This window comes from Homo sapiens, chromosome 2, assembly GCF_000001405.40.
Source record: "Homo sapiens chromosome 2, GRCh38.p14 Primary Assembly".
NCBI lineage: Eukaryota > Metazoa > Chordata > Mammalia > Primates > Hominidae > Homo > Homo sapiens.
In genome coordinates this window covers 12,385,854-12,402,687 of record NC_000002.12, presented here as the reverse complement: position 1 = coordinate 12,402,687, position 16,834 = coordinate 12,385,854, and the positions used below count along the sequence as shown (strand labels likewise).

General features: G+C 39.1%; 1 long non-coding RNA gene across 1 annotated transcript in view, besides 1 other annotated feature; it reads right to left on the bottom strand.

The window, feature by feature from the left end:
- The window catches only part of MIR3681HG (MIR3681 host gene), a 571,233-nt gene that overhangs the window by 175,661 nt on the left and 378,738 nt on the right, over positions 1-16,834 (bottom strand). The window lies entirely within an intron of this gene.
- Positions 4,085-5,284: an enhancer, noted in NCBI's record as "CDK7 strongly-dependent group 2 enhancer chr2:12537530-12538729 (GRCh37/hg19 assembly coordinates)". NCBI's record gives its function as "activates an origin of replication core promoter dependent on BRD2, BRD4, P300/CBP, MED14 and CDK7 cofactors, with strong dependence on CDK7, by STARR-seq in HCT116 cells {active_cell/tissue: HCT116}" and the evidence as "EXISTENCE:reporter gene assay evidence [ECO:0000049][PMID:35650434]".

The following is a 16,834-nucleotide window of genomic DNA, read 5'->3' as shown; positions in this document are numbered from 1 at the left end:
TGGACCTGGCCCAGAAAACCATTTTCCCTCCTAGGCCTCCAGGCCTGTGATAGGAGGGGCTGTCACAAAGGTCTCTGGTATGCCCTGGAGGCATTTTCCCCATTGTCTTGGTGATTAACATTCCTCCTTGTTACTTATGCAAATTTCTTCAGCTGGCTTGAATTTCTCCCCAGAAAATGGGTTTTTCTTTTCTGTCACATTGTCAGGCTGCAAATTTCCCAAACTTTTTGCTCTGCTTCATCTTGAACGACTTGCCACTTAGAAATTTCTTCTCCCAGCTACTGCAAATCATCTCTCTCAAGTTCAAAGTTCCACAGATCTCTAAGGCAGGGACAAAATGCCACCAGTCTCTGCTAAAGCATAGCAAGAGTGACCTTTACTCCAGTTCCCAACAAGTTCCTTATTTTCATCTGAGACCACCTCAGCCTGGACTTCATTGTCCATATCACTATCAGCATTTTGGTCAAAGCTATTCAACGAGTCTCTAGGAAGTTCCAAACTTTTCCATATCTTCCTGTCTTCTGAGCCTTCTAAGTCCCTAGGAAGTTCCAAACTTTCCCAAAGTTTTCCTGTCTTCTTCTGAACTCTCCAAACTGTTCAGACCTCTGCCTATTACCCAGAACCAGAGTTACTTCTACATTTTTGGGTATATTTATAGCAGCACTCCTCTCTCTGCAGTACTAATTTACTGTATTAGTCTGTTCTCATGCTGCTGTTATATAAATAACTGTCCAAGACTGGGTAATTTATAAAGGAAAGAGGATTAATTGCCTCACAGTTCAGCATGGCTGGGGAGGCCTCAGGAAACTTACATTCATGGTGGAAGACACCTCTTCACAGGGCAGCAGCAGAGATAATGAGTGTTGAGCGAAGGAGGAAGCCTCGTATAAGATCATCAGATCTTGTGGGAACTCACTCTCTATCACAAGAACAGCATGGGAATACTGCACCCATGATTCAATTATCTCCACCCAGTCCCACTCTTGACACATGGGGATTATTACAATTCAAGGTAAGACTTGGCTGAGGACACAGCCAAACCATATCACCAGTTGTCTTTTTCTGGGTCAGTTTTGTGTTTCTGAAGATGTAGGGTGGTGATGGCTGCTCTTTGATTATTGCGAAGTTGCATGTCAACCGGATTGGCCTGTGCTAAAATTACTAGCAATATAGTAAGTGTTGATGAGGACATAGAGCAACTGGAATTCATACACTGCTGGTGAGAGTGTAAAATGGCATAAGACCTTTGGAAAAATGTTTGGCAGATTTTATAATGTTAAATCTACTTATCGTGTGACTCAACAATTCTACTTCTGTTTTACTCAAGACAAATAAAAACATATGTTCACACAAATAGTTCTACATGAATTTTTAAAGCAGTGTTACTCAAAATAACCAAAACCTGGAAATAACCCAAATGTTCATTAACAGGTGAAGAATAAAAAATACAAGAGCTAGGGCATATTCATATAATGTATTTTTTAAATGATATAAAAGAGTGAATGTGAACAAAGGACTGAATTAGATATCCTCTATTCATAATAAATGATATTTTCCTCCATCTCACTTCATCCTTGTAATTCAACATAGTACAATCCCACAAATATGAGAAATTGCAGCCATAAACAGAAAATTCCCAGTATCTAGACTAAGTTGTTGTGGAAAATCCACTGTGTGCCATAGCAGCACAACATACAGTGAGTTCAGTCCTGTTCACCCATCTGCCTGGTTCTGGGATTACTGCAACCTTCACATCACCTCCTTCTTCTGGAAGCCACATTCTAAATGAGTGAGATTTTTTTACTTTCCCATGAGCAAGAACAGAATGAGCTCCATTCATTGGCAATGGGTAATCTACTATTTCTCTGCAGGAGAGAAGGTAATGCAAATGGAAGAGTTGTGCGAACATGGCCCAGGGGTGTGTGTGCCTGGATGAACCCTGTTTGCACGTCAGTTCAGACAACGATCAGTATCTTGGTCACAGAAATTCACAGAGCTGCTGTTTGGTTTCCTTAGCATTAATTATCCACATCTGCCAGTATCCAGAGCAGGATTTATTGAGCACTTTATGTGGACAAGATATTCACCAGTCAAGAAAAAGGCATAAGATGCACATGAAATCAGGTTTTTGCTTGAAATACAATGAGATACCCCCCTAAACTGTGGGGGTTGGACTATCTGCAGTGTGTGATATAGACATGTGATACCAGAATCCAGGGGACAGGGAGGGAGAACAGCTTGAAGCTACAGGGAGGCTGAACAGAGGATCTGGGGCTGGTTCAGAGGAAGAATTTCCTCTGGATGGCAGATATGAAAAGAAAGGGCATTTCAGGGATTACTGTCCCCACCCACCCAAACAGTATCACCCCTGGATGCATGAGGTGGAGTGGAGATCAGGGGCTTTGGGATCTGGCAGAGCTGGACTCCTGCAGCTCTGCTTTTTAGTAATCCTGTGACCTTGGCCAGCTACAGAACTTCACTGAGTCTCCATTTGTCATCTGAAAATGGGGATTATAGTAATGACTTTCTAATAGAATGCTGTGAAAATTAAAAGATTAAATAATGTTGGAGAGAAAGGGGTAATATAGCCTCTGATACAAAGTACAAATATTGCTTTCTCCCTTGCTAAATATAACTTACTTAATTTGTCTTGGTCTTTCCAAGCCTCCTCTCCCTCTGTTTTCAGGCTGCCCTCTGCTATTCATCTCCCCGCCCATGGGTTCCTCCAACACCACCCTCAAAAAATTAGGAACAGAAAGGAACTGATGCTGAAGACTCACTCCTAAAAGCAGTTCTCCACCCAAGGGTCTCAGCACTGGAAGCTTAAATCCTTTGGGGAATGAAAGGTGTTACATCTAGGAGAAGGACATTTCTTCATAAGTGAGAGTTTGGACTTTTTCCACATCCGGGAGTTATCTACCCCATCCCTAAGTCAATCCAGCTACAAATGAAAACCTCAGGCTGATCTGGTTATCGGGTTTTGCCAAACCAGTTCTTTGACTCAGGTGACTTGCATAGCCGGGATAACATTCTGAGATAGATACAGAAAACCTCTCAGCACCATAGCAAAGTAAAAATGCAAAATCGGTCCTAAGTGTCTTCTATAATAACATGCAAATCCAATCATATTTCTGTCTTCCTCTATCCTCTGCCTGGCTCCGCATTGCCATCAGGGAGGAAGGAGGTTAGCACAACACAGACAGCCTCTTAAGATCTGGATTCAGAGCTGGGCTGTGTACAGCCCAGCACACTCTACTCTGGGGCTCAGGTTTCATCACCTGGGGAGGTGACAGTACATGTATTTGCTGAGTTTCTAGTTAGAGACAAGAGTTTCCTGCCCTAAATGGGACTCCAGTTCCATCACTGGCTTTTACATAGACGTGTTGGGTTTGCTGTGACTTTTTATATACTATTCTAAAGTGCAAAACAAGCATGGTATTAAAACAATGGCAGAGCATTAAAGAAATCTTCAAATAAATGGAGACTTCCCTCGCAAGAATAGGGTTAAGTTTAACTGGAAAAAACTTTGAATTCCACATACTTAACAAAGAAATTTCAAAGTTGCCTTTAGGCCCTCAGACCTGCTCTTTCTTGTTCACAAGCGTGTCAGCTTTGAAGGCCAGCATGAGAAATGGCATTGAATCTGACCATCTATGTAGGGGTGAAACTTCGCAGATCACTGTGGAACTGGTCTATGCAAAACCAGAAATCAGTATGTGATTCTTGATCTTTGTTATAATAGACAAAAGTTGTTTCTGGTTTTATAAGTAGCTCAATTGCATAATATGTCCATAATACATGCTAATTAAATGAATGAATACATATTAATAGACACCTTGACTAAGCACTCTAAATATTTCTAATAACAATAATAATAATAATAAGAGCTGTCACCTTAATATTTCTAAAATTACGATTTAACTGTTTTTTTCTATTCATACACTGAATGATTAGTTTGTCATCATTCTCGCCATCATATGACCAGGAAGCCATGGACAAGGCATTCCTTTTATGTAATGCTCATAGCAACTTCTGAGGGACATGCTACTGTTGTTTATATTCATATATGAGGGCACTGACTTTTAGAGACTCTCAAGTTTGCAGAGGCTTTGACCCAGTGCATAATCTATGCTCCTAAGCACAGTAGGAAGGAAACACTGGGGCTCAGGGTAGTTAAATGACTTGCCCAAGGTCAAGAATTTCTGTGGCAGGACTCAGAGTTAGTTTTTCAAGCCACAGTTCCAGGTACCTCAAATACATTAAAGCAACACTTACAATGGAAACCTATCAATGTCCAGTTGAATAGCTTTTTTATACCTGGGCTGGAACGGACATCAGCTCTGGCCATTGAAGTTCCAGTTAACATCGATCCAAACAGGCAAAGGAAAGATCCAAACTGTCTTACTAGCAATAGGTTTGGACGGGATGGCTGATTAAATCTCAATTCCTTTTGATGCAATGGCAAAGGACTCAGGCTCAATTTCTCTGATAGGACAAACGTCTTTGAAGCTTCTTTGTGCTGGATTTAATGAGCCTGATTGTCATCTTCCAGAAGACAGTGCAGGCGAGGCCTGTGCAGGCAGAGTGGATGGGATCACTCATCGATTGTGTTGTCACGCCCATCAAGCAGTCGGAAGAACCAGGGCAGGATGTGAAATCAATCTGACCGTCTATTTATAGATGAGGCAGCGCCTTTGTCATGGTGATCCTACCAGCAACCCGGAAGGCAACATCTGCAGTGTGTGACTTCCACAAATTAAAAAGCATGTCCTGACAGCACGTAGAAGGAAATTTTATTTTTCTTCTAAAATATTTTATAAATATGGACTGTTCTTCTTGTCCTTTTCATCTTTATAATCTTCCCTCTATTTCTATTTCTCTCCCTCTCTCCATTCTCGATGACTTCCTCTCATGTTTTTTCCTTCTTTTTAATTCAGTAAGATTTATTTAAGTTTCATTATGCATTTGGAGCTGTATAAAGTGCTGTGGAGAATTTAGAGAAGATACTCCATGGACCCTCCTTCAAGCCATTTCCAATATCTTTGTGGAATGGAGAGCACTTGCAACTTAAAATCAAAACACCTATTTTCTAATTGTTTCCACCACTTATGCATTTTCTTTATGATCTCATAGCAGTCACTTGTTTCTTAACCTCAGCGTCTTCATCTGTAAATTAAAGAAATAATATCTATAGATACCACAAACATGTTTAGACAGCTTACGTAAAAAGGAACAAGCTTAGTACTACTGACAAAAAGCCTAGTTGTATAATCGTGAGCAAATTAAGCTTTCTAAGTCTCAGGATTTAGAAAATGAGTATTATAACTGAGTAAAATATTAGTAAAATGAGTGTAGTATTAGTATGCATAAGATTGACATGATAATTAAATGAGATTACATATATGAAAGCTTAAAATAGGCAGGACCTGGCTTAATAAGTACCTGGCTCAGTGAGGGCTTAATAAAATTTGGTTAGTAATGTAAGATGTGGGCATTGCATATTAAGAATAATAAAGTGCTATATACAGCCCGCCTTCCTTCTTTCCTTCCTTCCTTTCTTCCTCTTTCCCTTCCTTTTTTCTTTCCTTCCTTCCTTGCCCTGTCTCTCTCTTTCATTTCAGAGTCTTATATTATTGTTAGTCTCCTAAAAGAATAGAATTCTGCTTCCACTTGGGATGAAGAAAAGTTTAAAGAGCGTAACTCCCACCATGTAGCTGGTTTGGTCACAATCAGTCACTTTCCTTGAGGCCATCAGAGAACTGACGTTGCAAGGCAAATACATACCCTGAATTCCAAATGAGGGCACACCTTTCCAACATGAAATTCTTGTTCTCTCAATTCTTGTAACAGAACTCTCAAATTCTTGTAACAGAACTCGGAGATACAAGTGACTGCCGTTCAAGTAAGTAAGAAGACGACGACCAGAATTTAACAAATTTTTAAAGGTCAAGTGTCAGTTCAGAGCAACTGCAGGTCCAGACATAAGAAGAATTTGCACTCACTCCCAACCTTCTTGCCATGGCCTCCCCAAGCTGTTCACCAGAAAGACCAGGAGCAGAGCAGAAGACCAGAAGGGACCCTCTTCAGTTATGCACATGCAGGATGTACTTGACTGCTACGAGAGACCACTCACAAAACACTACCCATTTCCTGGACCCCAGTGCTCTTAGGGGAGGAGCAGTAAAGTACATCATTCCCAAGGTACAAGCGAAAACCAGTTTCAATGTAGGAAGGATAAAAGAAAAAAAAAAAACCCTAGAGGACTTTTTTCTAGGGGAAAAGAGGCAAATCATTTTAAGGGACAGGAGGAAGCTCCAGCTCAAAAGCAACAACAGATACTAGACAAAGTGTTAATGCCATAGAGAGGAGAGACAGGAATGTTAAGAAAGCCTCAAAATCCAAGAAATAAGGATCAGTGTAAAACTGACAGGGCACAAAATAACAGAGTTGTCCCCACAAACCCACCGTGAACCTAGATTGGTTAAGAAGGAGCAGCCAGTATGTTTGGGGCAGGAGCAGGAGCATAGGGTGACCTCCTCCATGGCACAGGCAAGCAAGAATATCAGAGAGCTGAAGGTAGAGCAGGGGCTTCGAGGAAAACTCTGGCACCCCAGTCCCACCTGCCTTAGTCCATTTGTGTGTTGCTATAAAGGAATATCTTAGGCTGGGTGATTTATAAAAAAAGAGGTTTGGCTCACAGTTCTGCAGGCTGTACAAGAAGCATGGCACTAGCATCAGCTTCTGGGGAGGGCTTCTATAGTCAGCATAAATGTTTCCAAAAGTGAAAACAATATAAGAATCTAGATAGTATTTTTCAGACTCACATAACCTTACATTCCCAGTAGTATTACAAGAAAAACAAAAGGAAGTTCTTCTGGCAAAAGTTTATGTTGATAGAAAGAAACATGGATCTATAGAGAGAAATAAGTGCTATAAGGTAAATATTAAAAAATTTCTTTATTTTTAATAATTAAAAAATTTACTGTCTGAAACAAAAATTATAGTTTTTACCTAGTAGTAAATGTAAAACTTATAATAGCAATAGTGCAAAAGATGCAAGGGATGAATCAGAAATATACAGTTGTAAAATTCTTATACTGTTCATGAAACAGTACCATATTATTTGAACATAGGCTGTGACAAGTTAGAGATGTAGATATTGTTAACCATGTGGCAATCACTTAAAAACTCAAAATGAGATATAACTAATAAGCCAATAGTGGAGATAAAATGGAATAATAAAACATTTGAATTCAAAGGTAGGCAGAAAAAGAAGAAAAAAGAAACAGATAATAGACAAGCAAACAGAAACGGTTAGCAGGATGCTAGGTTTTAACACAATGATATAAAAAATTACATTAAATAACAATGGTCTTGTTACATTGAATTCACGCACGCGCACACACACACACACACAAACAACAACAGCAAAGACCTAATTATATGCTGTCTAAAGGAAACATTTTAAGTAGAGAAATACAGATAGATTAAAAGTCAAAGGATAACAAAACGATAGACAAACACTAGTCAAAAGAAACCTGACATGGTCTCTCTTTCTCTCTTTTTCTCTCTCTCTGATCCTCTCTCTCTCACACATGTACATGCACACACATGCACAAGAAGCCTTTGTTTTGCTGATCAAGGTGGTAGATCAAATGCAAATGAGTTCTACAAAAGTAGAAAATCAACTCAGAATGTTAGCTGAAAAGTTGTATGCAGAGCTGACAATGAGAGTCTAGTCAAAGAGAAAGTACATGGAAAAATTGAATAGGACTACAAAAAAAGAAAGAGCAAGCGAGAGACAGGAGGAGAAGGAGAAAGCATATTAGGATGAGGGAGGGTGGCCAGAATGGTTGGTAAGAGCGAAAGTTTAAGGGAGATGGTTGGACAGTTTTGCTGTGTGATGTGGATAATCCCTTCTGTTTACCTACAACACTCTGCTAATATAATTATATGGGTTCTCTTTGTTAGTGGAGTTAAATTTGTGTATGAGTGTCAGAGTAGGGGAGAGGGCTAGATCACATCAGCAGAAGTATATATGTTCATGTGTATTTCAGGAGGACATGCTCAAACTGCCACATGAAAGAGAAAGACGGTTCAGTTTGAGTCACGTTTGCATCTCCAGAGCCAAGCGAGATGCAGGACACAGTGAAAGAACTTTAAAAAGTAATCGAACTAAACTTGCTATGAACAGAATGTTTGTGTTCCTCAAAAATTCATATATGGAAGCCCTAACCCCCTATATGACTGTATTTGAAGATAGGGCTTTTAAGGAGTTAATTAAAGTTAAACGAGGCCACAAGGGTAAGGTCCTTATCCCATAGGATTGTGGCCCTATAAGAAGAGGAAGAGTGAGAGAGACGCTGTTGTCTCTCTCAGCCTTGTGAGGACCTGGTGAATGTTCATCTGCAATCCAGGAAGAGAGCCCCCACCAGAAGCTGCCCATGCTGGCACCCTGATCTCAGACTTTCGGCCTCTAAAACTGTGAAAAATAAATGCCTGTTATTTATAAGCCACCCAGTTTATGGTTTTTGTTACAGCAGCCTGGACTAAGACAAAACTAAACTAAAATGTATATCTTGATCAGGGTTGGTAGATGGACCCCAAGACAATAACCATATCTTACATGCAGATTTTGCTTGAGAATTTTAATTTAAATGTTCTGCATTATAAGTGCCTATATATTTGTAAACATTTGGTACATTTTGCCTTATTGACTTTCATTAAGTTTGTGCTAAGTTATACACCCGACAGATACTATATGAGAATGCTTTTCTTGTCAGATAGAATATTCTCTCCCTGCTCATTTTCTTCCTCTTCCCCCTTCTGCTCCTTCTCCACTTCCTCTCCTCTTCCTGTTCTTCTTCTTCTCTCTCCTACCTTGATAAAATAAATATGCTTTTGTATTGTATAACCTGTTTCTTATGATCATTTTTACCTCATCTTGGTGAGTGTTGTCTTAGAATGCTCAGGTTACTATTTTTAAAACATAAAATCGGTGGCTTAAACAATAGATATTTATTTCTCACAATTCTGGGAGACTGGGAAGTCCAAGATCAAGGTGCCAGCAGATTTGGCTCCTAATGTGAGCCATCTTCTGGCTTGTAGATGGCCACTTTCTCTAATGTTCCACTTATAAGGACATCGATCCCATCATGAAGGCCCTATCCTCAGGACCTAATCTAAACCTAATTGCCCTGCGAAAGCCCCATCTCCAAATATCATCACATTGGGGGATAAGGCTTCAACAGAGGAATTTTGGTGAGACACGAACATTCTGCCTGTAACAGGCATCAGTCACTGAGGAAGCAGAATGTAGAGGTTGCTCATGTTCAAAGGCAGGTTCACCAAGAAGCTAACCTCCACCTGCCTCTCAGGGCCCCCACCTGCATGACGCTTCTCTGAGTAGTGGAAATTGCTGGGAGTTATAGAATGCTCTAGATAGGGGAGCAATGTTCAGTGGCTGTCAGGAAGCATGGCCAGCAGTAGCCTTTCTAGCAAATTGACTAAAGGAATCTCAGAAGAAAAGGACTGGAATCTCTAAGTTTTTGGTATCTTTTTGTAATTTATTTTCTCATTCTAAATAAATATTTACTCAAAAAATTAATTTTTTTTCATAATTCTTGAATTAATTTTAAATATGCTTCCCCCTAACTGTATAAGCTTCAGGCCCCACAAAACCTGGATGGTACCCTGCCTATAGTATTTATAACTGACACACTTACATTAATGTAGCCCTTGCAACTTACCTACACTCTGCCTGTTTTGCCTACTGCTACATTAAAAATTACCCCCCAAAAATTAGCATCTTAAAACAAAAATAATTTGTTTTGCTGAAGATGACATATATGTAAGGCCCATTGGGAATGGCTTATCCATCTCACACAGCATTAACTGGGACAGCTCAGTGATGTGGCTGGCAAGTCAGTGCTGATGATGGATCTGATGGAAGCTCAACCAGGGCTCTGGGCTGGGAGCTATGGTTCCTCTCTGAATGATCTTCCACCACCTGGATCTGGTGCCTGCATCACATCTGGATTCTTCTAGTGAGTATATCAATATAGGATGTAGAAGCTTCCAGGTTCTTACAGCCTTGACACAGAGACTGATTTAGTGTCACTATTCCAAGTTGTATCGATCAAGGCAGTTACAGAACCCACCCAAACTCAAGGGAAAGAACATGGACTCCTTCTCTTACTGGGAAGAGTGTCAAAGAATGTGTGGCTTTCTTTAATCTGCCACACGATCCTAGGTACTGGGGAGAAAAAAACACTCGAAATCGCCACTGACCATCATGTACACTGGAAGAAAATGCTTTTCTGTGCATATGGAATTTTTAATGGAAGCCTAAAAGTGTAAGGCCAGGTTTCTGCATTATATTTCACACATAATTGGCATTTCTATTAGACCAGTGTGTTTTCGTAATCGCTAATGCATGAACAGAATATTATTAATTTAAAAATATTTGAACTATGAGAACATTCATTTGTTAGGTAAACAAGTGATCAAGGTTTCATGATGTTTTCAAAGGTTTTCAAGAGACTGACACTATAATAAACCTTAAATAGGGAAAAACATCTTGGAATTCAATTGTTGAAATTTTCCATTTTTGTAGTGAGGATGGGGTGGTTCAGAATTAAGAGAAGCAGTGAAGCACACTAGTTAAAAACACTGACTTCAGAGCCAAACCTGGACTGAAATGCTGCCCCATCCCCTGTGATTGCATAACATTGAGGAAGCTATTTACTTTATCATGCCCTTGGTCCCTCAAAATTTTGTGCCTCTGCAGGCTCATATATAAAATGGAACTATAAACAGATCAATCTCATGGAGTTACTACAAGGATTAAACAAGTAAATATTTGTAAATCACTTAAAAGATGGCTTGGCCACCTAGTATGCATTATACATGTTTAATAATACAAACATGCATCCATACATACATGTGTACATACCGTAAGTTAAATCTGAGTTCGATTATCCAACAGAAGCCAACTTTACAGGTAATACAGTCTATGTCTCCTATTTCAAAGTATGGATGCACTCAAACTGTCTTGAATTTTACAAAAACGTTTTCAGCTCACTGTGTCATGGGATATCATAGACAAAACCGAAACGCATTATTTGGACTTGCCTATGAATAAAAATAGCCCTATTCCTTACAAAGAAGTTGTTTTTCTTTTTGCCTTCTGATAAGAACTATTCTTGCCTCCAGAACTCAGTTTCGGAGCTCCAGAGACTATAAAAAGAGAGTGAGGAGGGAGGATTTCAGGAAAAGCTAGGCTCATTGTGACATAAATAATGCAAAATAGAAAGGAGTCTGGAAGCATTCTGTATCTGCAGTCTTCACATGGCAGCTCTGCCATTTGCCTGTAAATAACTGACAGGTCCAAAGTCTAAGGGATTACTTTAAATGTTACAAGTGATGAAAGCAAGGCTCTAAAGGACTCAGAGGAGAGAAATAGTCCAGTGGGATAGCAGAGAAAAGAACTTGCAAGTGATAAAAAGAGTAAATAATTTAAGACTTTCTAGGGCAGAACGTGATCACTGGAGGTTTACTGTGTTTCCCTAAGCCTTTGCTTTGAAATTCATAGTCGCACCATGAGTTTAATCATTGTTCTATCCAGCCTTGATCTCTATCAACATGATGGGACCATGAACTCCTTCTCTGCCACCAGATCAGAAATGCTGCATGCAGGATGGGGGACTGGCTGCAGGTGAGAGGTGAGACATTTGTGGGAAACCTTGTTTTTTGTTTGCTTTTCATTCAGGACCAGAATAACACGCATTAAGAAGATATGCAAGTATTTAACACATTCAGTTGGCTTTAAATGTCCAGAAAGTCTCACTCTCTAGCCATCCTTCCACCCTCTTTATTTATCTCAGAGGCCATCATGCTTGAATTGCTGAAACAGGTTCATTATTTGGCCTACCAACTCTCAAGCACCCTGGCCAATCAATCCAGGCTGCCCTCTGCTCAACCAGATGAAGCTCACCATGAGGTCCCTTCAACTTTTTCCCCACAAGGCTCCATCAGCTGCCTCTGCCCACAAGAAAAAAGGACCACTGACTTCCAGAGCTTCACTGCCACACATATGCCAAACACGCTTGAATCTTGATTTCCTTGCTAAAGGTCCAAACCCAAACCCATACATCAAATTGCATATAATAATCATATTCATTTTGGTTGTCCACAAGCTTCTCAAACTCAGAATTTCCAAAACTGGACTCCTTCTACCCACTTTCTTCCCTTGACAAAATGCTGTTCCTGCTTCTTTCATATCAATCTATGTCGTCACTCATCCAAACAAAACACTGAGACCCATTCTCATATATCCCTCTCTTTCACTCGCCAAACGCTAGCACATCGAGCTCTGTCAATTTTACTTCTTAAATATCTTTAAAATCTGCCTCCTCTCATCAGTCTCAAGCACTTATCTTCTCACGACATAACTTCTGTGAAAGCCTCCCAGCTTGTCTTACCAGCTCTGGTCTCTGGTCTCTCTGGTCTCTTCCTATTAAAACTATTCTCTTCTTTGTCTTTTCACTGACAATTCAAGGCCAACTTTAACAGGTTGTTCTCGCATTGACTTCCACTAGAAACTATGTAACGCCCAGTATACAATTTTCAGCTAAAAAGGTTCCACTTCTGATACGGTGGGGTAAGCTTCTAGCAGATCAACATGTATGAGGAAAATGTACAGAACAACTTCCACAAGACTCCGAATAGAAATCAAAGGCAGAATGATTTTGGAGCGGAATTGACATGATGAATGTGGGAAAACATGATTTGAGTTCTGTGTTTTTGCAGATTTTGCCAGAGGGTTATTGCATTCCAGCATGGCATGGGATGACTCAAGCTCCAATGGAAAACTCACTGACTTTCTGGTCTGAGGAATAAAACAAGGGAGTCCAGGGTAACCATAACCAGCAGAAGGTGAGGAGAATCCCAGAAGGGAGAAAGTAAGAGAAGGAAAGCCCTAGTTTCTGCATGCAAATTCTAAGAATCTAGCTGACCCCTAAACAAACTGAAATTAATTCCATTAAAAGATAAAGAAACAAACTGTGATTTGAGCCGCTGCTCACCACGTGTGAGACAAGACCGCAGTTTGAGTCTAGCCAACTAAATTGTCAGCTAAAACAAAGACATCACATTCTCCAGAGGAAAGTAATAAATCCACGATGTCACTGACAAAACATTCTCCATACTCAGGATGCAATCTAATATTGCCAGACTTAAGAAGAATCGGAAAAATGTGATCAGTCTCTAGGGAAAGGACAGTTAACAGAGGCGAAATCTTGAGATTATACAAATGCTGAAACTAGCAGTCAAGCACTTTAAAATAGTAACTCTAAATGTGCTCAATGAAATTAAGGAAGAAAGTTAATTTTAAGTGAAAATATAGGATATCTTAGAATAGAAATAGAAGATATGAAAAATAACCAAAATTAAATCTTAGAATCCAAAGAAATAATATCTGAAATATTTTGAAAAGAGGGATGGGTGTAATTGCAGAATTGTAATTGCAGAGAATAGTCAATGAATTTGAAGATGGATCAGTAGGAATTATCCAATCTGAACTAGAGATAGACTAAACATTGGAAGAGAGAGAGAGAGAGAGAGAAAGAGAGCGCCTCAGGAACCAGTGGTACAATATTAAAATGTTTAACATATACGTGGTTGTGGTCTCAGAAAGAGAGAAGAGACAGAATGGGACAGGAAAATATTTGAAAAAATAATGGCCAAAAATTTTCCTAATTTCAAGAAACTCAATATGTTGAAAAGAGGACAAATATGAAGAAAAGCATGGGTAAGAACATCAGCACCAAACAACTGAAAATCAAAGATAAAGAGAATGACTTTAAAGCAATCAGAGAAATAGTTCATGTTACATGGAGAAGAGCAACAATTTTAATTACCAAGGGTTCTTGTCAGAAATGATGAAGGTCAAAAATTTTGGAATAATATGAAAAACTACATATTAAATAAAGAGGAGAAACAATTTGAAATTACCAAGTATTTTTCATCACTATAGAAGTCAGAAGCATTGAAAAAATATCTGTAAAGTGTTGGCAGAAACTAAACAAACACAAACTTTCAACCAAGAGTTCTGTATCTTGCAAATGAATAAAGACAAATAAAGATATTTTCAGTTAAAAACAACAATACAATTTGTTGCCAGCAGAGCTGCACTACAAGAAATGCTAAGGTAGTTCTTCAAGCTGAAGGCAAATATCAGGGTAAAACTCATTCATGACAAAAGTATGTCAGAAATACTCAATACATGAATAAATATTAAAGACTTTTTAAAATTAAACTTGTTTAAAAAATCAGTGTTTAAAGCAAAATCACAGCATTGCTGTGTAGGTTTTACAAAAAAATGAGATATAATGCATATGAAAACTTTAGCATATGGCATGGTTGAGAAAGACTAATTGGACCTTTTTGGCTGCAAAGTTTCCACATTTTATGTGAATTAGCACAATATAAAATCTAAGCAGATTGTGAAAGGATAGACATGCATATTTCAATCCATATATCACTACTAAAAATACAATGAGGTGCAGCTAAAATGCCAAGAGATACAGTAAAATGTAATTGCTCAAAATTTTACTAATAAAAAGAAAGCAGGGAAGCAAAACAGAGGAGCAAAAAGCAGTGAGGACAAACAATATAATTAATAGAATAGTAAATAAGATAGTAGACCAACATCCAACCATGTAAATAATTACATGAAATGCTAATGGAATAAACACTCCAATTAAAAACAGATTATTAGAGTGAATAAAAAGGCAAGACCCCAATATATGCTATACAAATATAAATACAGTCATGTGATACATAATACATTTCAGTCAAGGATGGACCACATATACAATGGTGGTCCCATTAGACTAATGGAGCCGAAGATTTTCTATTGCCTAGTGATGTTGTAGCCATTGTAATATGGGAGTGGAATGCATTATTGTGTGTTTGTGGTGATGCTGGTGTAAATAAACCTACTGCACTGCCAGTTATATAAAAATCTAGCACAAACAATTATATACAGTACATAATACTTTCTAATGATAACTAGAAATTATGTTACTGGTTTATGTATTTACAATTTTAAACTTGTGTTTTACCTACCAAAAAAATAAGTTAATGATAAAACAGCCTCAGGCAGGTCCTTCAGTAAGCATTCCAGAAGAAGACATTGTTATCATAGAGGTGACAGCTCCATGTGTGTGATTGCCCCTGAAAACTTTCCAGTGGGGCAAAATATGGAGATGAAAGGCAGTGATATTGATGGTCCTGACCCCATGTAAGCCTGGGCTAATGAGTGTGTGGGTTTGTGTAAGTACACTCTATGATGTTTGCACAAGGACTAAATTGCCTAATAAAGCATTTCTCTGAGCATATTCCCGTTGTTAAGTGATGCATAACTATACACATATGGATGGAAAGTAAATGGATGGGAAAGGTACCATGCACATAATAGAGTGAAATGAGAAAATTAGAGTGGCTATAGTGATATTAGATAAACTAGATGACAAGGAAAAGTATACTGTAAACATGGGCATGTGCTATAAACTGAATGTTTGTGCCCTCCACTCCAAAATTAGACGTTGATAACCTAATGTCTAATCTGATGGTATTAGGGGGTGGGGTCTTTAGGAGGTAATTAGGTTATAAGGGTGAAGTGAGCCCTCATGAATGGGATTAATGCTCTTATAGGAGGAGATGAGAGCTTTATCTCTCTTTCCTCTCTGCCACGTGAGGATACAAGGAAAAGAAGGCCATTTGCAAATCAGGAAGTGGCCGCTCAGCAGACACAGGGTCTGCTGGCTCTTGATCTTGGACTTCCCAGCCTCCAGAACTGTGAGAAATAAATTTCCATTGTGTAAACCACACAGCCTCTGGTATTTTGTTATCGCAGGCTAAACTGACTAGACAACATGACATAATGATTTAGTCAAATGAAAATTCATCACAAACACATAAAACCATAAGTGTGTTTGTCACTGACAGCAGACCCTCAAAATATATGAAGCAAAAAATAGAATTAAAGGGAGGAATAGTTGATTTCACATAGTGGATTTTTATAGCTCTCTCAGCAATTGGAAAAACAACCTGAAAGAAATTCAGTAAAGACATAGATGATTTGAATAATACTATTGACCATCTTGACCGCATTGATATTCATAGAAACTACCAATAATTGCATAATCTACCATCTTTTCAAGAGCATGTGGTACTCGCACCAAGACAGCCCATATTCTGGGCTATAAAACAAATGTCAGTAAATTGAAAAAATTGATATAATAAAGAGTGTTGTATTAGTCAGGGTTCTCTAGTGAGACAGAACTAATAGGATAGATGTATATGTAAAGGGGAGTTTATTAAGGATTATTGACACACACGACCACAAGGTGAGGTCCCACAATAGGCCGTCTGCAAGCTGAGGAGCAAGGTAGCCAGTCCGAGTCCCAAAACCTCAAAAGTAGGGAAGCCGACAGTGCAGCCTTCAGTCTGTGATCAAAGGTCCAAGGGTCCCAAAGCTGAAGAACTTGGAGTCCAATGTTCGAGGGCAGGAAACGTTCAGCACAAGAGAAAGATGGAGGTCAGAAGACTCAGCCAGTCTAGTCTTTCCATGTTCTTCTGCCTGCTTTTTATTCTGGGAGAGCTGGCAGCTGATTAGGTGGTGCCCACCCAGATTGAGGGTGGGTCTGCCTTTGCCAGTCCACTGACTCAGATGTCAATCCCCTTTGGCAACACCCTCGCAGACACACGTAGGAACAATACTTTGCATCTTTCAATCAAGTTGATACTCAATATTAGTTATCAAAAGTAT